The sequence below is a fragment of the Homo sapiens genome, unplaced genomic scaffold, assembly GCF_000001405.40.
Source record: "Homo sapiens unplaced genomic scaffold, GRCh38.p14 Primary Assembly HSCHRUN_RANDOM_CTG2".
Classification (NCBI taxonomy): Eukaryota; Metazoa; Chordata; class Mammalia; order Primates; family Hominidae; genus Homo; species Homo sapiens.
In genome coordinates this window covers 58,066-80,302 of record NT_167208.1, presented here as the reverse complement: position 1 = coordinate 80,302, position 22,237 = coordinate 58,066, and the positions used below count along the sequence as shown (strand labels likewise).

Below are 22,237 nucleotides of genomic sequence, written 5' to 3'. Positions count from 1 at the left end.
ACCTTGGTGGTTTTATTAATTTACATTCCCAGGAGCAGTGTACAAGTGTTCCCTTTTCTCTGCATCCCTGCTAGCATTTGTTACTGCCTGTCTTTTGCATACAAGTCATATAAACTGTGGTGAGATGATATCTCATTGTAGTTTTGATTTGCATTTCTCTGATGATCGGTGATATTGAGCACCTTTTCTTATACCTGTTTGCCATTTGTAGGTCTTCTTTCGAGAAATATCTATTCAAATCTTTTGCCCCCTTTTTTTAAACCAGGTTATTAGATTGTTTCTTAAAGAGTTGTTTGAGCTTTTTATATATTCTGATTATTAATCCTTTGTTGGATGAGTAGTTTGCAAATATTTTCTCCCATTCTGTGGATTGTCTCTTAACTTTGTTGATTGTATCATTTTCTGTGCAGAAGCATTTTAACTTAATGTGATCCATTTGTCCATTTTTGCTTTGGTTGCCTGTGCTTGTCGGGTATTGCTCAAGATATTTTTGCCCAGACCAATGTCCTGGAGATTTTTTTATAGTTTGAGGTATTAGCTTTACATCTTTAATCAACTTTGATTTTACTTTTGTATTCGGTGATAGATACTAGTCTGTTTTCATTCTTCTGCATATGGATATCCAGTTTTTTCAACACCATTTCCCACCAGTGTATGTTCTTGGCACCTTTGTCAAAAATGAGTTCACTGTAGGTATATAGATTTGTTACTGGGTTCTCTATTGTGTTCCATTGATCTATGGGTCTCTTTTTATGCCAGTACCCTACTCTTTTGGTTACTATAATTCTGTAGTATAATATGAAGTCAGATAATATAATTCCTCCACTTTTATTTATTTATTTATTTTTGCTTAGGATAGTATTATTTCTTATACTGAAAGCATTCTATGTTATTTATTATTAGGCTAATTTTGTAGTTTACAATGCTATCCTCTTTTACAAAGCTGTGATCAACTCAAAGTCCAGATCAGGGTCAATTGTAGCTATTTGCAAAAGTAGCAATATTCTGGCTGGGTGTGGTGGCTCATGCCTATAATCCCAGCACTTTGTGAGGCCAAGACAGGCAGGTCACCTGAGGTCAGAGGTTCAAGACCAGCCTGGCCAACATGGTGAAACCCTGTCTCCAATAAAAATGCAAAAATTAGCCAGGGATGATGGCAGATGCCTGTAATCCCAGCTACTCAGGAGGCTGAGGCAGGAAAATCACTTGAACCCGTGAGGTGGAGGTTGCAGTGAGCCCAGAATGCACCATTGCACTCCAGCCTGGGTAACCAAGTGTGACTCTGTCTCAAAAAAGAAAAAAAGCACTATACTGTGTAATTATTGACAGCATAATTCACTATTATGTGGATCAGAGAGCAGAGGATTCTGAATGCATGAACATATCTTTAACATTTCAATACATTACTCATAATTACTAATGAACTAAAGAGAAACCAAGAAATTATGGTGGTAGTTATATTGACCTGGAGAAATGTAGACACAAAAGAATGGTAAGATGAGAAATGTGTTAACACAGGCTATAAGGGCATGCAAGAATAAAAATAGGGGAGAAAACAGGAGAGTTTTTCAAGAGCTTTCTGGTCATGTAAGTCAATTTGTATCAGTTAATTTTTAAAAGGTTTATTTACATGCAATAAACTGCACATACTTCAATTGTACATTTTGATAATTCTTGGCATTTGTAGCTCTACAAAACCAACAACATATTAAAATAGCAAACATACCCATTACCTTTACCACCAAAGTTTCCTTGTGCTTTTTCTACTCACTTTTTCCTGCCTATCCCCATTCCATCCACAGGCAACCACTGATCCACTTCCAGTCACTATCCATGAGTTTTTATTTCCAAATACATAAAATCATAGGGTACGTATACTTTCTGATCACTCAGCATCACTATTTTTGAGATTTATTCATGTTGCTACATCTATCAATTGTTCTGTTCTTACTAGGGAGTATTATTTCATTATATACAGATACCATAGTAAGTTTATAAATCACAAATTCACCTGTCCATGGATATTTGAACTGTTTTCAGGTTTTGGCTGTTGCAAGTAAAGCTGCTATGAAGATTCATGTAAAATCCTTTGAATGGTCATATGCTCTTAGGTTTTCATCTCTACCGGAAGTGGAATAGATAGCTATATGGCTATCATGTCTGTAATATGCAAACACAAAGCCTGACAAAACTGATTTCTAAAGTGGAAATTCCACTGAAGAACCTTGACTCCAACCTGGCTTTTGAGATTATCTCCTATGTCTGGTGCAATGATTGGTCCTGGGGTAGCCACATGACCCAAGGGGGACCATGTTTAAACTTCTGAGTTTTCACTGAGATTAACATGCATTTGTTGAAAGAGAAACCCCTTTTCCCCTACTCCCCCAGCTGCAAATGCTTTCAGGGATTACATCATGTTGGAACATTTGGTTACAGTGTTTCCTAAACTTTGAGGGTAAAAATTGTTCAAGTAGGTAAAAATGGAGCACATACAAAGAAAAAAGGAGTCCAGAAATATCAAATAAAGAAAGGGCCTCCATAAAATCATTTGAACTTATGATTAATTCATTAGTCATTAAAATAAGTTTAGTGTACAAAGAATCATCCCCCCAACCACCCTTTATTCCTTCACCAGGTTTAAGTTACATTTTTTAACTTGCAAACAAAAGATTTGTCATTAACTTAGACATCAAAATCCCTTGTCTCCAAGAGCAATCATTCAACTCTGTCCCTCTCATTATTACAATAATATGTTCACTTTATTCTGCATACACCTGCTCTTTGCCCTTGTCTCCCTATTCTATTCTGTTAAAGTTATATCCAGACATTTATTTCATTTTATATCAAAGAAACTGTATACATGTTTTTAATCTTAGAAAAATTTCTGAGTAATCTTTTGTCTCATATTCGATTCTAAGCCACCCAAGAAGCATTATTTTTTCATTTAGCATTTTAACTTTTCTAACCCAGGACTTTTATAGTAGATATTATGTCTTTTTCTAAATGTCCTGCTTCAATTTACATTTTAAATCTAATTTTTAAAAAGTGTATGTTTTGAATATTAGCATCATGCATCTCAGGCCTAAATATCCCTTGATAACAAATATTGTCTTTTTTTCTCTACGTTTTTCACATATTTCAATAGGGAGATATATTGCCTGCAACAATAAAAGTTTTTGTCAATATAACATAACACATAGGCAAAATATTGTTTCCAAGTGATTGATGATGTGGTGCCTTCAGTCTAGTCCCAACCCCTCAATGTAATCATCCCTAAATCTAATGAAATATGAAATAAATATTTCATTTTGTTTCTAAAATTCAGCATAAAAATATATAGCCTGTCACATATAGCCTGTAACACCAACATATAAAAATGAAAGCAGTTCCTTCTCCACTCCCACTGCTTCACTTGACTAGCCTTAAAAAATAATAATAATAAAAAATAAAAGCAAAATTGTTCCTTTACTTATCTTTGAAATCTAATGGGTATACTATCAGAAAAGCTCTTATATATATGGAGGGCCTCTATAAAATATAGACTCTTAACTAGAAAAGTAGACTTATATGATAGTTAAATTTAAAACACAATTGTATATGGTACCTTCCCAAATGCACCAGTACTTATTTCAGAATGCATGATGTAATTGACTAAACCATTTAGGGCTAGACCTCTGAAATAAAAGGCATTCACACTTTGTGATTCCTGGGGAAAATATTATTCAAAATAGAAACATGCAGAACCTTTACCTGATCGTGATAAAAAAATGTTCCTACTTGTTAATATGCCACAGCTTTTACAAGGTCAGCAAAAAGAGATTATCCCATAATATAAGCTGATGGCCGAAATTATCTGCCTTACTTTAGTTACTATAATATCTATTAAGTGTAAATTTCTTTTGAAAGAAAACAGATACATTTTTCTCAGAAATGTCTTTAGATGAAGATCTAGCACATCTGTGTTTCTCACTTTTTAAAATGTTGATTTTATTGATAAATAAATATATATAGGGTACAATGTGGTACGATACATGTAAATATTGTGAAATGGACAAATTAGGCTAAAAAACATATCCTTCACCTCAGATATTTATTACATTATGGTGAAACATTTAAAATGTACTATTTTAGCACTTTTAAGATATGCACTACATTATAAGTGACTGCAGTCACTTTGCTGTGCACCATATCACCAGAATGTCTTTCTCCTAACTGAAGCATTATCCCATTGAATATTTCCCCTTTTTCCACCCCTGCCCCCCACCCTGCTCAGCCTCTGATAAACCACCATTCTACTCTTAACTTCTATGAGTGCACAGTTTTGGATTTCACATATAAGTGATATTAAGAGATATTTGTCTTTCTGTGTCTGGCTTATTTTACTTAGCATAATGTCCTCTAAATCCATCCATGTTTTTGCAAATGACAGAATTTCATTCATTTATAAAGATAAGCTGTATTTTTGTATGCATCCTACATATACTTTTAACTTTCCACAGCTTTATTGAGATATAATTTATACATTGTGTAATTCACTCATTTAAAGTACAAACTTCAAATTCTTTTAGTATATTAACTGGATGGACAAATAATCATCATAATATAATTTTAGAACATTTTAATTCTCCTTAAAAGAGACTTGCACCCATTAGCAATCTTCCCCATTTTCTCCAGCCTTTTTTAAACCCCTCCTAGTCTAGGCAACCACTCGTCTACTTTCTGACTATGAATTTGCCTATTCTGGACATTTCACATAAATGGAATCATAATAACACATAGTCACTTTTTACTCACATCTTTCACTTAACGTATTTTTAATGTTCATCCATTTTGGAGCATGCATTAACAGTTTTTTACCTTTTCTTGCTAAATAAGATTCTGTTTTATGGACACACCACATTTTATTTATCCACTCCTCGGCTGATGAACATTTCTGTTGTTTTCTACTTTGTGTTGCTATAAACATTTGTGTACTACTGTTTGTGTAGCATTTGTTTTATTTTCTTTTTGGTAAACACACAGAAGTGGAATTGCTGGGTCATGTGATAACTCTATGTTTAACCATTTGAAGAACTGCCAGACTGTTTTACATTTTAAAGTCTCACCAGTGGTGTAGAAGGGTTCCAATTTTTCCACATATTTTTATCCATTCTTCAGTTGATAAGCACTTAGGTTGTTTCTAATTCATGGGTATTATGAATAATGCTGCAACGAACATGAAATTGCAGATGTCTCTTTTTGACATACGGATTGAAATTCCTTTGGACATATATCCAGAAGTGGGATTGATGGATCATAGGGTAAATATACTTACAATTTCTTGAGGAAACTTCATACTGTTTTCCAAGATGGCTGTACTAATTTCCATTCCTACCAACAGTGTACAGGGTTTCTTTTTCTCCACATCCTCATCAACACTTATCTTCCGTCTCTTTTTATAATAGCCTTAGTAAAATGTGTGAGGTGATATCTCATTGTGGCTTTGATTTGCATTTCTCTGATAATTAGAAATGTTTTTGATTTTTTCATGTACCTGTTGGCCTTTTGTATGCCTTAGGAAATGTCTATTCTGGTTCTTTGCTTATTTTTTTAATAAGCATAGTTTTATTCTTATTTTTGAGTAGGTTGAGTTACTTATATATTATTATATGAGCCCTTTATCTGATGTATGGTTTAAAAATGTTATCCCATTTGTGGGTTCTCTTCATTCTATTATCGCTTCTTTTCCTGTGGAAAAGCTTTTTAGTTTTATGCAATCTCATTCGTGTGTTTTTGCTTTTGTTGCCTGTGCTTTTGGAATAATCTACAGAAAATCATAGCTCAGGCCAATGTCATACAGTCTTCTTCTATATTTCCTTGTAGTAGTTTTACATTTAAGTCTTTAATTTTGATTTGATACTTGTATAAAGAGCAAAAGGAAAGTCAAATTTTATTCTTCTGTATGTGGATATTCAGTTTTTTCTACACCATTTATTGAAAATAATTTTCTTTCTTCATTGTGTATTTTTAGTCATTTTATCAAAAAATCAGTTGACCACAGACACACGGACTTATTTACGGGTTCTATATCCCTTTGCACTGTTCTACCTGTCTGTTTTTATGCCACTGCTATGTTGTTTTAATTACTATGGCTTTGTAATATAGTTTGGAATTGGGTAGTCTGATACCTCCAGCTTTGTTCTTTTTGTTCAAGATTGCTTTGGTTAGTCGGGGTCTTTTGTGGTTCCATACAAATTTTAGCAGTAATTTTTCTATTTCGGGGAATTTGATAGTGGTTGCATTTAATCTGTAGATTGCTTTGGGTAGCATTGACACTTTTACAATACTAATTTTTGAATCCATCAATAAAGGATGTTTCTCCATTTATTTATGCCATTTTAATTTTTTTCATCAATGTGCTATAGTTTTCAGTGTGCAAATCTTTCACATTCTTGATTAAATTTACTCCTAAGTCTTTTATATATTTTTATATCTGTTTTGATTCTATTATAAATTGAATTGCCTTATTACTTTATTTTTCAGGTAATAGTTTGTCATTAGTGTATAGAAACAATAATGCTAGCTGTATGTTGATTTTGTAACTATTAACTTTATTGAATTTCTTTATCAGCTTTAACCATTTATTTTGGTGGAGTCTTTAAGATTTTCTCTATCTTGAGTGCGCGAGGCGCGGGGAGCCTAGGACCTGGAGCGAGAGCCGCCTACCTGCAGCCGCCGCCCACGGCACGGCAGCCACCATGGCGTTCCTGCTGCGCTTCGTGCTCCTGTGCGGAGTCGCGGATTTCACCAGAAGTTTGAGTATCACTACTCCTGAGCAGATGATTGAAAAAGCCAAAGGGGAAACTACCTATCTGCCATGCAAATTATGCTTAGTCCTGAAGACCAGGGACCACTGGACATTGAGTGGCTGATATCACCAGCTGATAATCAGAAGATGGATCAAGTGATGATTTTATATTCTGGAAACAAAATTTATGATGATAACTATCCAGAACTGAAAGGCCGAGTACATTTTAAGAGAAATGATCTCAAATCTGGTGATGCTTCAATAAATGTAACGAATTTACAGCTGTCAGATATTGGCACAGATCAGTGCAAAGTGAAAAAAGCTCCTGGTGTTGCAAATAAGAAGATTCAGCTGGTAGTTCTTGTTAAGCCTTCAGGTACAAGATGTTATGTTGATGGATCAGAAGAAATTGGAAGTGACTTTAAACTAAAATGTGAACCAAAAGAAGGTTCACTTCCATTACAGTATGAGTGGCAAAAATTGTCTGACTCACAGAAAATGCCCACTTCATGGTTAGCAGAAATGACTTCATCTGTTATATCTGTAAAAAAAATGCTTCTTCTGAGTACTCTGGGACATACAGCTGTACATCAGAAACGGAGTGGGCTCTGATCAGTGCCTGTTGCGTGTAAACGTTGTCCCTCCTTCAAATAAAGCTGGACTAATTGCAGGAGCCATTATAGGAACTTTGCTTGCTCTAGTGCTCATTGGTCTTATCATCTTTTGCTGTCGTAAAAAGCGCAGAGAAGAAAAATACGAAAAGTAAGTTCATCACGATATCAGGGAAGATGTGCCGCCTCCAAAGAGCCGTACGTCCGCTGCCAGAAGCTGCATAGGCAGTAATCATTCATCCCTGGGATCCATGTCTCCTTCCAACATGGAAGGATATTCCAAGACTCAGTATAAACAAGTACCGAGTGAAGACTTTGAACGCACTCCTCAGAGTCCGACTCTCCCACCTGCTAAGGTAGCTGCCCCTAATCTAAGTCGAATGGGCGTGATTCCTGTGATGATTCCCGCACAGAGCAAGGATGGGTCTATAGTATAGAGCCTCCATACGTCTCATCTGTGCTCTCCGTGTTCCTTTCCTTTTTTGATATATGAAAACCTATTCTGGTCTAAATTTTGTTACTAGCCTCAAAATGTATCCAAAAATAAGTTAATCAGGAGCTGTAAGGAATATATTTTTTTAAATTTTTCTTTGGTTATATCGAAATAGTTACAGGCATTAAAGTTAGTAAAGACAAGTTTACCATCGGAAAAAGCTGGATTTTCTTTAAGAGGTTGATTATAAAGGTTTCTAAATTTATCAGTACCTAAGTAAGATGTAGCACTTTGAATATGAAATCATAAGTGAAGACATTGGTGAACTTACTTGCATACCAAGTTGATACTTGAGTAACCATCTGAAAGTGGTACTTGATAATTTTTACCATTATTTTTAGGATGTGTATCTCATTTATTTATGGCCCACTAGTCTCCCCCAAATTAGTACAGAAACATCCATGACAAAATTACACATGTGTGTTTGTACTTGTTTTCACAGCTCCTTGGAAAACTCTGTGTTAGGAATATCTCTAAAAACATAGAAAACTCTACAGTGGTTTAGAAATTACTAATTTTACTTCTAAGTCATTCATAAACCTTGTCTATGAAATGATTTCTTAAATATTTAGTTGATAGACTGCTACAGGTAATAGGGACTTAGCAAGCTCTTTTATATGCTAAAGGAGCATCTATCAGATTAAGTTAGAACATTTGCTGTCAGCCACATATTGAGATGACACTAGGTGCAATAGCAGGGATAGATTTTGTTGGTGAGTGGTCTCATGCCTTGAGATCTGTGGTGGTCTTTAAAATGGTGGCCAGCCAGATCAAGGATGTAGTATCTCATAGTTCCGGACTAAATACTGGCTTTCCACTTTAGGTGATATTTTTCTTATTAGAAAAATATTATAACTCATTTATTGTTTGACAGTTATAGATTGAAATTTCCTAATTCTAAATTTTAAGTGGTTCTTCAGTTTCAGTGCTTTATGTTGTTTGTTGTTGGTTTGGCATGGCATTACATATTATATGTTCTAGAAACATGTAATCCTAAATTTACCCTCTTGAATATGATCCCTTGATGATATTTTTATCATAAATGCAGAATAATCAAATATATTTTAAGCAAGTAAGTGTCCTCCATCAATTCTGTATTCCAGACGTGGGAGGATGTACAGTTGCTGTTGTGTGATCAAGCATGTCTCTGTGTAGTTCCAGCAAATCAAGCTGAGCTTTGAAAAAGTTTGAGTCTTAGTTTTGTGAAAGTGGTTTATTCTCAAAAAAAAAAAGAAAAAGAAAAAGAAAAAGAAAAAAAGATAAGAAGAAGGAGTAAAGGGACTACTCCTCCTTGCCAAATGTGCTAAATATCATTTTAGGAGAAGAAAGTGGATTTATTGTATTTCCCTTAAGATTGTGAGGGAGTGTGGATACAGTAGAATGAGCCAACAGTTTCTTTATAATAAATACGGTCTGCAATAAATTATTTCACTAGCTGTAAAACCTTTCCCTAGATTTTAGTAGGGAGTTGGTTTCTGTTAATATCTTTGGGTGCTGTGGTGGTAAATGCTACATTATAAACAGTGGCATGTATTTACAGTTAGAGTATTGTGTGTACACTTTTTAATGGTAAACTTAAGCTGAATGTGTAATGGATTTGTCTATAGTTTTACATATTTGGAAGCATTTTAAAATAGGTTTTAATCTTACATAAAATTACTTTTATACTTGTGTTAACATTTTCTTCTGTGCCTTTTGGGTAATTTAATTTCTGTTATGAATTTCTGGTGCCTATGAGCTAGCTATCACCTACCTGAAAGGTGCTTAGAGGTGAAGGTACTGTTTCTAAAAACACATCACTGTGACACCTTTCTATCCTCACATTTTCAAGCTTGCCTCTTTTCTGTTCTTTGTGGATATAACGTAAGTGATTGTGTTATTCATAAAGATTTAGAAATTTCAATATTCCCAACACTCTGACTATGTTTCTGATTTTATAATAGTAGCCATTTTTGAATGTCAGATGTTTGGCCTGTTTTATATGAATAAAGTTTATTTATAAAATATTATAAAAATAAGTAAACAGAACATTAATAATAAAAAAAGATTTTCTGTATCTTAAGATTATATTTTCAGAAAACAGAAACAATCTTACCTCTTCCTTCCCTATATGGATTTCTTTTATTTCTTTGTCTTGTGTAATTGATCTGGCTAGGCAATTACACATAATGTTTTCAGCATTTGTAATTTTACATCAAATCCATCCATTGTAACACATTGATTGCTACTTTTCAACTTGTAAACCTGGACATTTGTCACTACTCTTCCTCCAGTACAGGAGTCCATGGCGCGGTGTGGGCCCTGCTGTGCCACAGTCCAGGGCACGGCTGGGCGCAGGTTCTCTCCTGCAAGAGTCCGCGGCTCTGCAGAGCAAGAGTTCTCCAGTGCCTTAGTCCAGGGTGAGGCAGGGGTGAGGCTCCTTCAGTAGCTCAGTCCAGGACGCAGCCCTGCGAGGGTCCTCCTGTGCAGGAGTACACGATGCTGCGGGGTCCTACTGTGCCTTAGTCCAGGACGCCAGGGGGCTGGGTCCTCTGCTGCCATAGTCCAGGGCGCGAGGGGCTGGGTCCTCTGGTGCCATAGTCCATGACGCAGGGAGGCTGGGTCCTCTGGTGCCATAGTCCAGGATGCGAGGGGCTGGGTCCTCTGCTGCCATAGTCCAGGGCCCGAGGGGGCTGGGTCCTCTGGTGCCTTAGTCCATGACGCAGGGAGGCTGGGTCCTCTGCTGCCATAGTCCAGGATGCGAGGGGCTGGGTCCTCTGCTGCCATAGTCCAGGGCGCGAGGGGCTGGGTCCTCTGGTGCCATAGTCCATGACGCAGGGAGGCTGGGTCCTCTGGTGCCATAGTCCAGGATGCGAGGGGCTGGGTCCTCTGGCGCCATAGTCCAAGACGCCAGGGGGCTGGGTCCTCTGGTGCCTTAGTCCCGGTCGCGGGGAGCTGGGTCCTCTGGTGCCATAGTCCAGGGTGCGGTGGAACAGGAGTCCTGCGGAGCAGTAGTCCAGGGCGCGCTGGGGCGTGGATCCTCAGGTGCCACAGTCCAGAGCGCGACAGGGCGGGATTCCTGCCTTGCTATATCCAAGGTGCAGCGGGGCGGGGGTTCTCTTGTTCAGGAGTCCAGGACGTGGCAGAGCCGGAGTCCTCCTTGTAGGAGTCCTCCGGTGCTGGAGTCCAGAGCACAGTGAGGCTGGGTCCTCCCGTGCCATAGTGTAGGGCATGGCGGGACAGGGATCCTGCCCTGCGATAGTCCAGTGCTTGAGTCCGCAGTAAGGCAATGGTCCTCCAATGCTGGAGTTCACGGCGTTGTGGGGTCGGGGTCCTTTGGTGAATTAGTCCAGGGCGTACCAGGGCGGGGGTCCACAGTTGCCATAGTGAGGATCTTGGAGGAAGGTGGTTCCTGCCTTGCTGTAGTCCGGGGAGCAGGGGGCAGGGGTCCTCTCTTGTCAGAGTCTCTGGCGCGGGGTGGGGGTGGAGGTGGGGGTTTTCCTATGCGATAGCCCACGGGTCGGTGAAGCCGGGTCCTCCCGTGCCTTTGTCCAGGGCGCAGGGGGGCGAGGGTCTTCGGTGGTGGAGTCCGCGGAGCGGCAGGACGGGGGTCCTCCAGTGCCATATTCCAGGGCGCGGCGGAGTGGGGGACCTGTCCTGCAGTGGTCCAGGGCATGTGGGAGTGGTGGTCCTGCTGTGCCTCAGTCCAGTGCGCGGTGGGACGGCGGTCCTGCTGTGCTGTAGTGCAGGACGCGGTGGCGCAGGGGTAGTCCAGAGAGCGCCGTGGCAGGGGGTCCTCCAGTGCTGGAATCCAGTGCAAGGCGGGTCAGGGGTCTTACCGTGCCGAAGTCGGTGGCAAGGGTCCTCCCGTGCCATAGTCTAGGGGGCGACGGGGCAGGTTTCTCTAGTGCAGGTGTCCAGGGTGTGGCAGGGCAGGAGTCCTCTTGTGCAGGAGTCCAGGACGTAGCCGAGGAGTCCTCCAATGTCAGAGTCCAGGGCTCTGCGGGGCCGGGTTCCCCCATGCCAGAGTGTAGGGCGCGTTCAGGTGAGGGTCTTGGCGTGCAGTAATCCAGGGTGCGGTGGGGCAGGGGTAGTCCAGACCTCCATGGCGGGCGTCCCTCTGTGCAGGAGCCCAGTGCCTGGCGGATCGGGGGTCCTTCTGTGCTGTAGTCCAGGGCACCGCAAGGTGTGGGTCCTCTGGTGCCCTAGTCCAGGGGGCGGCGAGTCAGAGGTTCTCCCGTGTCTCAGTCTAGGGCCTGGTAGGACTGGGGTCCTGGAGTCCACGTGGTAGCCCAAGTTGCCGCAGGACCAGGTACTCTGGAACCACAGTCCAGGGCGCTGAGGGGCAGGAGTAGTTCAGGGCGAGCCGGGGCCCAGGTCCTCGGGAGCCAGAGTCCAGGGTGTGGAGGGGTGGGGGTTCTGCAGTGGCACAGTCCAGGACACCGCGGGGCGGGACAGGGCGGGGATCCTCCCGTGCCTTAGTCCAGGGCTGAGCCGCGGGAGAGGTCCTTCAGTAGCACAGTCTAGCGCACGGCGTTGCAGGTGTCCTCCAGTGCCTGAGGCCACGGCAGGTCGCGGGTCCCACTGTGCTCTAGTTCAGGGCGGAGTGGGTCTGAGGTCTTCTCCTGCCTCAGTCTAGGGCGCTGGAGAGCGGGGATCCTCTGGTACCGGAGTCAATGGATCCACGGGTCCGGGTCCTCCCATGTTTTAGCCCCGGGAGGGGAGAGGCGGGGGTCTTCCTTTGCCCTAGTCCAAGGCATTGTGAGGCCCCGCTCCTGCATTCTTAACTGTCTGTGCCTCTGCCGCCGCGGGGTAAAACTGCACCATCTCAGGCAAGCCTAACAGAGCAGCTGTCCTTAAAAGATTCCCAGTTGAGTGTGGTTCGGAGCAGGCCTGAGAAGTGTGCCCTTAGTTGGCTTCAAGGGCTCTGGGCAGTGTTTAAGGAATCCAGCTGACCTCAGTTACTCCAAGCCCTTTTCCACTTGTTTTCTTCAGGCCTCCTTTCTTTGTGCCAGCATCAATGGGTTTTTGGTTAAAGTTTTCAGCAGCTGCCTGCAGTTCCATTTTTCTTACCAGGTAAGAGACATAGCTTCATGAAAACAAAGGGAGAAGGCTTGTGACCAGAGAACTCCCAGTCCTCTCCCTGCATAGGAAAACTGGACTTCTCCGGAGGGCTCCAGCTCCTGGGCAAATCTCTAGGGCCACTTAATTGGGCTGTCCCCCACCTTTGTTTCTGGTTTTGGAGGGGCCAAGGTTGGGAATCCTTTCTAAGTCTCTACACATGGAGCCCTTCTTTGGTGGGATAGTCTTGACATATACCAGGATTCTCATTGACCTTTCAGAGCCTTCAAGAATCCTGAGCTGCTTTGGCTTCTGTTCCTGGAAGAGATGCAACTGAACTGCTCTGGAGCTGGAGTTCAGGTTCAAATATTCATCACTGTTACTAAGCCTTTACATAGCATGTGATTTCTTTCCGGCAGGCTCATGGTCACTTAGGTTTGCTTGTATGTAGATGGAGGGTCTGCATCCTCATTCAGGTAACACCCTCAGCCTTTCATGCTGAGATTAGCCATTTTATTTGTAACTCACTGTACAATCCATTTGCTCTTCCAGTGTCCCTTAGAAGGATGCAGAGTGTTCTGTAGAATGCCATAGAGACCTGGATTTAGGGAAAATATTTGACCAAAAGTCTGCCAACTCACATGAGTATCTCCCAACAACTTGTACAGTGCTAGTCTCTGGGTATATAGCAAATGAAACCGTGCCTGAGCAGATGTTACAAACACCCTCCCCTGAGAGACTCCAGGGCTGCTTTATTCAAGCAAAACGGTGTGCTCTAATAAGCTCAGTGTTGAGAGGAACAAGTTTTCATTCCAGCTTTCTCAAAAACTCCCTTTGTGACTTTAGACATAATAATAATAACACTACCTAGGTAGTGAACACCTCTGCCAAGAAATATCATGATCATTACCTGAGTTGTAATTCTCACAGTAGTCCTGCAGGACAGCTGCTGTTACTGCTTATTATGCAGATGGGCAACCTGAGGCTCAGATGGAGTTAAGTGGCTTAATTGGTAGCAACAGAGCCAGGATTTGAACCCAGGGCTGCCTGATCACCAAATAAAATTGTACTCAACATGATGCACTTAACTTTTCTGGCCTCATTTCTCTCACCTGTAAAAATGCAGGTTTCAGATGTTGGTAATATTTTACCTGTGGTTGAAAGAGTTACCAGCCCTTCCTTGATCACCCATGGTAAGACCCATGAGCCTCTGAATATAATTATAGAAAACATTTGGAGAGGGATAGAGAGAGACAAGATCATGCCTCCTTTGATAATGTCAAATTTTCAGTGCACGAAGCCATACATAGTGCAGTTTTCTAGCTTCCCTTTCACACATGGCATTGAAGAAAGTAAATTAAGCAACTCAGCTAACACTGGGAATGCAGCAGAAGTAATCGAGTTCAGTGCTGGGAGACAGTTGCCATGATATTCCAACATGGACACCAGGATCACAGTCGATGACTATGCCCTCCCTTGAAGATGGTGGCTTGCCTCTCTTTCTGTAAGCACATGTCATGTCATAACAATATTAAACAATTGAAAGTAATGTCCCCATCTTCTTCTACACTGCCTTTGAATTATTATTTTAGATCTGCCAAAATAAATTGCAAACTCATTAACAAGAAAGGGGGGGTGCATGCATCCCTGCCTTCCCGAGTAGTCTATTCACCCAAAGACAAAAGGGTGACCAGCCTCCATCTGGGATATTCAAAGACACAGTCACCTTGCCATGCAGCCTGAGGCCAATCCCCTTTTTAAGAAGCTTGTTAGATGAGCTCCTTAAACATACAACCACAAAGGAAAAGCACAGCTGGTGTGAGCGAGGCTGATAAAATGGGCATTTTGTCTGCTTCAAGGTTAGAATGCAACTTGTCTATCAAAATGTGGTTATCTGACCTCCACAATGCTGCAGTCCAGCTAAATCATGCAAATATTCATCCACCATTTACTATGGATAAAACAATAATGTGCTGTGGGGAATCCAATTACACACACACACACAAAAGTGCACACACACATGCATGCACACACACTGCTCCTGCTGTCTCAGAGGTTCCAGGCTGGCAAGGAAGAAGTGCAAACATTAGTAGGTAAGTCCACTAGCAGGAGGAATGTGATAAGTAGATCCAACAGGGTACAACACAGTATGATAGAAGCAAACAAGGTAGAAATGAGTTCTGACTCCCTTTCACTTATGAAACTGATTATGGAATAGTGTATGAAAGGCTTGCCTGAATGAATCTCATATTTTCCAAGTGTTTTCTATCCCAGCGATTGGAACTTTCATTCATTTATACCATTGTCCAAAAGGAAAATACAGGAGATTTTCCTAAGACCATCCTCTGTCTTATCGCTCATATCATATCCCCAAACATCACCAAGCCCTGCCCACTTTTACCTACTCAGTTTCTCTCCAGTTGTTCTGTTTTCTCCATATGCACTAGTGGTACCTTGGCTACATGAAGACCACCAGCAGCAGCTGGGACAACCAGCACCCTGTGGAACTGCACAGCATGCATAGAATACGTCCTCCCTTCAGTTGGCTTGGGTCAGCTTAGGTCATGGGCCACTTGGACTGATAGCAGTTTCCACAGAAATGCCTCAAGATGGTAGAATAATCCAGATCTCTTTGCATGGGGCATGGTGTGGCTATCTGAGAAAATCCTGGCTTTTATAGGAAGGAGAAAGAAGAATGCTTCTTGAGGGGAAGAAACCAACAGGAATGTGCCTCAGGGAAATGTCACCAGAGGAGAGTGAGCTGTAATAAGTATTTTGGCAGATTGCATGTTTCTTGTGTTCCTTGGCCCTGCACAGAGCTACCGTTTACTCATTTGACAAATATTTGAGTAGTAGACTCCAGGGTTCAATAGTGAGCAAACATGCACAGAATTTCTTCTCTAGTGGAGCTGAGAGTCTAACAGAAAGAGCTGACATTAGTCACAGAATTATGTAATAAGGGAAAGTTCAGCAGACCCAGGGGTGCTACAAGAGCCTGGGAAGGCGGACTGACCCCAAGAGGGAGGCAGGAAAGGTTGCCCCCAGGAAGTAGCACTTGAGCTACAATCAGGGAGAAAACTAGGCAAAGACACAGCATTCAGGAGAAGGTAGAAGTTGGCCCATGAGGATGGTGGTGTGGAGAGGTGAACCAATACCCAGGTCTTGGATTTATTGTTGAGCTGCTGAATTAACCAGTGCTGGCTCTCTCCCAACCTCTGCACTTCTTTTTTGCAAGGTTATATATTTTTTTATTTAAAAGCTAGTATGAGTTGGGATCTGTTGCTTTTCTGAGACCCCATCCTGTGAGGTAAACAGGGGGCCTCACTGTACTCTGGGGAAGCTAAAGATGGAGAACAGTTTTAGAGTGCCTGGAGAAGAGGCCCTTTAATAGATCATTTAAGAAGAGGGTGCTACCGCTAGACTGCCCAGATTCACTTTCTGGCTTTGTGACCTTGGGCTCTCTGTGTCTGTTTTCCAATCTGAAAAATGAAATAATGATAGTATCTGCCTCTGCCTGCAAGACCCTGACCCATCAGACCAACTACCTTTTCACTAGAACTCTCTTCCTGCACTGTACCCCAACTGGACCCTCATTAACACTTAAAATGGGCATGTTTCCCTTTTCTAGATTTTGCTCAAGACATTTCCCTCATCAGAATTAACTTTGGTCCATCTCCCTCTATTGAAATTCAACCCATTCTCCAGAAATCAGTTCAAATTTTATCACCAGAAAGCCTCTCTCAATTATACCAAGCCTCTTTTATACTTTGTGCCATTTCTGCCATGATTTCTTATGTTTTCCTTTTTCACTACATATTGGTATAGGTACATATGATCTCCACTTCCACTCAAATGTGAGGTTACTGAGGGCAATCCCTATGGGTATAGTCATATCCCAAGAGTCCTGGGCAGAGGGTGTCCCTCTTTCACCCAGGTTGGAGTGCAGTGGTGCGACCAGAGCTTACTGCAGCCTTGACCTCCTGGGTTCAAATGATCCTCTCACCTTAGCCTTTCCAGTAGCTGGTACTAAAAAGTGGGCACCACCATGCTTGGCTAATTTTCATATTTTTCATAGAGATGGGGTTCCACCACGTTGCCTTGCTTGGTCTCAAAGTTCTGAGCTCAAGCAATCCACCTGCCTCGGCCTCTCAACATCCTGGAATGACAGCATGAGCTACCACACCTGGCCAAATGCCGAATACTTTAGTCATATATGCCTGACACTTCCAGGGCATGCAGAACTGCCTCGCTTACTTTTCTTTTGACACAGTTAATAAATTTTCTTAATTTAAATTTTAATTTCAACATGTATACATCTTTGAAATAAATAAAATAATCTCTTTGAATGTTTGGCATAATGTAGAAGAAATTGACAAATGGATATCTTTACTTCATTTTCCATCTCAAAATGTGGTAGAAATATGCTCCCCTAAAGTGATCCCAATTATTACATAGCCATCTTGCTGTGGTTAATGTAGAATCTTTTTGCAATATCACATTCATGACAGGGCACATCCAAGAAACATTTAAGTGAAGATAATACTAGATTCTTGAAAGTATCTAGACACTTAAGAGCAGGTAGTGATGATGTTAATTAACAGTAACAATGTCGAGGGACTGGCTTTTGCCCTTCCCTAATAAACATAAACAGCATAGAAACTCAGCAAATTTGCTCTTATTTTCTTCATTATTTGGTTGTTGAATCAGTAAATGCTTTCCACAGGGGTCATCTTGTTAGTCATCTTGTCATTTTGCTGTGTCCCTTCTTCATCCTTGCACTTTTTCCTTTCTCTCATTTTGGCATGTATTGAGAGGAGTGTTATGTTGATGGAATGCCCTATCCTGACTTGCCATCTGATTAGAACTTCCCTAAATTTTTAAAATGCTTCTTGAAATGGTTTGGATTTGTGCACCCCCCATCCCCAATCTCATGTGGAATTGTAATTGCCAGTGTTGGAGGAGAGGCTTAGTGGAAGGTGTTTGCATCATGGAGGTGGTTTCTAATGGTTTAGCCTCATCACCCTAGTGCTGTCTGATGATAAAGTTCTCCCAAGATCTGCTTGTTTAAAAAGTGTGTAGCACCTCCCCTGACTCGTTTCAGCCATGTGAATATGTGCTTGCTTCCTTTTCACCTCTGCCATGATCGTAAGTTTCCTGAGGCCTCCCTATAAGCATAAGTCTGTACAGCCCACAGAACTGTGAGCCAATTCAATCTCTTTTCTTTTTCAATTACCCATTCTCAGGTATGTCTTTATATCAGTGTGAGACAGACTAATACACTCCTCCTCAGAAAGCATTCAATTTAGCTGTGTCTAAAGGTATGCCAGCTGTCCTGGGGCATTATCTTAGCCAATCATTCTTCCTCTTCAGCAAGATCTATTTGCCTATCACAGCTTGACCTGCAGTTCCTGCCATACTTGTCAGTAACAAGTAGCCTATAATATCTGGAGGGATTTCATTGAAATCACAGAGGTTCCTTGGCTCTTTACTTTATTAACAGGCATTAGGAAAGCACATCGACTTTCTTATTTAATAAAATGCCTGTTGCTTTGAAAAATTGCTCAAAAGAAGAAAAGAGAGGGTTACTTAAAGATATCACTATAGGCATGGCATGCTGGTCCACACCTGTAATCCAAGTACTTTGGGAGGCTGAGGAGAGAGGATCACTTGAGTCCAGAAGTTCAATACCAGCCTAGGTGACATGGCAAAACCCCATCTTTACAAAACAAAACAAAATAGAAAAAATATTCAGGCACAGTGGCATGTGCTTGTATTCCCAGTTACTCAGGAGACTGAAGTGGGAGAATCACTGAGCCCAGGGAGGTTGAGGCTGCAGTGAGCCATGATCGTGCTGCCCCTCTCCAATCTGGGTGACAGAGCAAGACCCTGTCTCAAAAAAAAAAAAAAAAAAAAAAGGCTATCACTATACTATCTATAACTATTCTTAATTAGGATAACTAGGTATTTTCCAACAGTGGAAACTCCAAACAGACTAAATTGTTGTACATCAAGGTGAATTGTCATAGTTAATTCCTTTGCTTGCAACTGTCCAATAAATGGATGAGGACTCACTTCACCAATAAATAAGAAATGTGAACAGCACATGGGGCCTGTAGATGCCTTTTGCAGGGCCCTCTTTTTCTCTTCCTAAAGTTGCAATTTGCGTGTTTCTGTAGATGGGCACATCATAGAAACTGTCATCCTAGATCAGAGCCTGGAGAGAGAGATACAAGTGTCATGCTTACATATGCAGAGTGGGAACAAGCCCAGAGAAATCAAGATGATTAAGCAGAAAGTTTCCATACTGGAGATAAACCAGCTGTGTAAAAAATCATGCTTATTGAACAAAAAAGCATTGCACAGCTGAAATAACTGCTTTAACTAAGAAGTGAAGAACTGACACCTGAACAGAGCACAGATAGCCACACAGACAGGAGCTGCATTTCAAACAAGGTCATTGCTGTTGTCCCCACTCCAAATTAAGTGTCTCTGCTTCACCCTTCCTTACCAAAGTTCTGCTTGATCATCCTTTTGTTTTGTTTTGTTTTGTTTTTTGTACTTCACTTCTTTGAGAAAATATAAACCAAAATTTTACATGAAACAGGAATTCAGCTTTTGACAATGTTAGCCATTGAAACAACAACAAAAAAAGTTTCTATTATTTCTCATCTCTGTGCTATCCAGTGCAGTAGCCAATAGCCACAGGTGACTATTAAAATTAAAATTAATTCAAATAAAACAAAATTTAACATTAGCTGGTCAGTTGTACTAGCCACATCTCAATTACTCAATAGCCACATGTGGCTAGTGGCTACTGAACTAGGCAGCATGAATGTAGAACATTTTCATCATCATAGCTTTCTAGGTCATGGAAAAATTGCAGAACTCAATTTCCAGTGTGCACATTTATTTGCATGCCTAGGAGCTTTCTGACCCTGTGTTGAGCTGCCTAACCAGCTTCCTGATTGACCTCCTGATATTTCTGCAAATGTGGACTAAGAGGCCAGGAGTCCTCAGGGCCCAGGTGACTCAGGTTATTCAGTAATTATGTTTGGACTAGCAGGCCTCTACTTAATTTGGGATGCAAAAGGGGACTTCTCTTCCTAATTGCTAAAATAGCTTTTCAAGGTTCACCTCTCATCGTGGTAAGAGTCTCATTTCCTGAGACTCTTATTTCTTTCCATGACTTATGTTATATTCTGGAGAGAGTGGATTCACATGGAAAAGCTGGCTCTGTGCTGGCTTTCCAGGGGTCAGCCCTCTTGTGAGTGACAAGTCTGCCTATTTACATGATGTACATTGTGTCCCACTACTGGTAATAGAAGCTCAGCAGCTGATTGACTGTTAGGTTATTTTCAAAGCTCAATATTCACAATAATCTAACAGACACCCACACAACCACAAAGACAGACAAGGCTCTCATAACCTGCAAAAGACAAGGTGCACATTTCTTCTTTCCATCCCAGCAACAAATTGCCAACCCAGCCAGCACTTAAGTTGGGGTAAAAATTAATTAAAAGAAGAATCTACCAATGTAGATAAAAGAACAAAAAAGCTATTGCAGCTGTCTTCTCCATAACAGAGGCCTGTGATTTGAATTTTAATGTTTCAATCTACTTTCTGCTCTTGTGTTTATTTTATTATTTATTTTTTGTCACTATCTCTTATTTGTAGATACAAATTTTTCACATTTAAAAGCTATTTTAAATATAATCTTTAAAAGGAGAAACATTATTTTTTTTAATTGCACAAAATACTGAAGGTGAGTTCCACTGATTGGAATGCAAAATGGGACAATATCTCTGGAAGCAATTTTATCCAGATAAATCAATAGCTTTAAAACAATTCAAAACCTTGGACCTAATACCTCTACTTCTAGGAAGCTAGCCTATGAAGGTTTCTGCTGAAGGATGTTTATCACAGTATTATTTATAATGCAAAAAAGCCAAAGAGGAGACCTGAAATGTTTCAAAGATGAAAATGGTTTGATAAACAACATTTTTTTAGACGGGGTCTCACTCTGTTGCCCAGGCTGGGGTGCAGTGCCACGATCTTAGCTCACTGCAAAATCCATCTCCCAGGTTCAAGCAATTCTCCTGTCTCAGCCTCCCAAGTGGCTGGGAATACAGGCACACCCCACCAAGCCTCACTATTTTTTTGTATTTTAGTAGAGATGGGGTTTCCCTGTGTTGCCTAGGCTGGACTCAAACTCCTAAGCTTAGGCAATCCATCTGTCTTGAACTCCCAAAATGCTGGGATTAGAGGCGTGAGCCACTACACCTGGCAATAAACAACATATTTAAACACTAGAATATTATGCAAAAATTCCAGGCATGCTTTGGAAAAACTATTAATCCCACAAAAGATGCTTATGTTATTATACAGACTAAGAGACCAAGATTCTCCAGGACACTTACTGTGTTACATGTCTGAAGTATAATATAATGCTGTATATAAAATGTGACCTCAACTCAGGCCCCAGTCTTTTCATCTGGAAAATTCTATTAATTATACTGCCCTTCCCCTTTTTAGATTTTCTGTAGGAGTTAAATACAATACACTTTGTCAATTGCTTAACACCATGCTCAACACTGGTCAGAGAGATATAAATGTCAGCTATTGTACTATGTGCCAAAAAAAAAAACAAAAAACCACACAGACAGACACACACACACACACACAAAGACACACATGGAGGGAGAGGAAGTAAAGATTAGAAAGCAGCACATAATGTTATGGTAGGCAATGGGACCACTAATGATTTTCATATTCTTTTTTATTTTCTTCTTTATACTGCTTACATTTTTCAGTGTATACAATGAGCATGTATTACTTCTGTAACCAGAAGAATGTGGTATAAACCTCACCTTAATATAATAAAACAAAATTACTGGCCAGGCACGGTGTCTCATGCCTGTAATCCTAGCACATTAGAAAGCTGAGACTAGTAAACCTCTTGAGCTCAAGAATTTGAAACCAACCTGAGCAATATAGTGAGACCTTGTGTCTGCAAAAAATGCAAAAATTAGCCAACCATAGTGGTATAGAACTGTAGTCCTAAGTTACTTGGGAGGCTGAGGTGGGAGGGTGGCTTGAGACCAGGAGGTGGCTGCAGTGAGCTGTGATTGCACCACTGCACTCCAGCCTGGGTGAAAAAGCCAGACCCAGTCTTATACAAAAATATAAACAAATATACAAAATATACAAAAATAAAAACAAACAAACAAAAAAGTTATTACTTAGATCCCACATGCTGTCTTGGAGCCATTGTAGCATTGCGGGATTCAAGAGACTGGAGAGACCAAT

The 22,237-nt window shown here is 40.9% G+C and overlaps 1 pseudogene; it reads left to right on the top strand.

Moving 5' to 3' along the window:
- Positions 1-14,484, top strand: part of LOC100288929 (coxsackievirus and adenovirus receptor-like) — a 30,178-nt pseudogene extending 15,694 nt beyond the window's left edge.
- Positions 14,485-22,237: the final 7,753 nt, after the last annotated feature.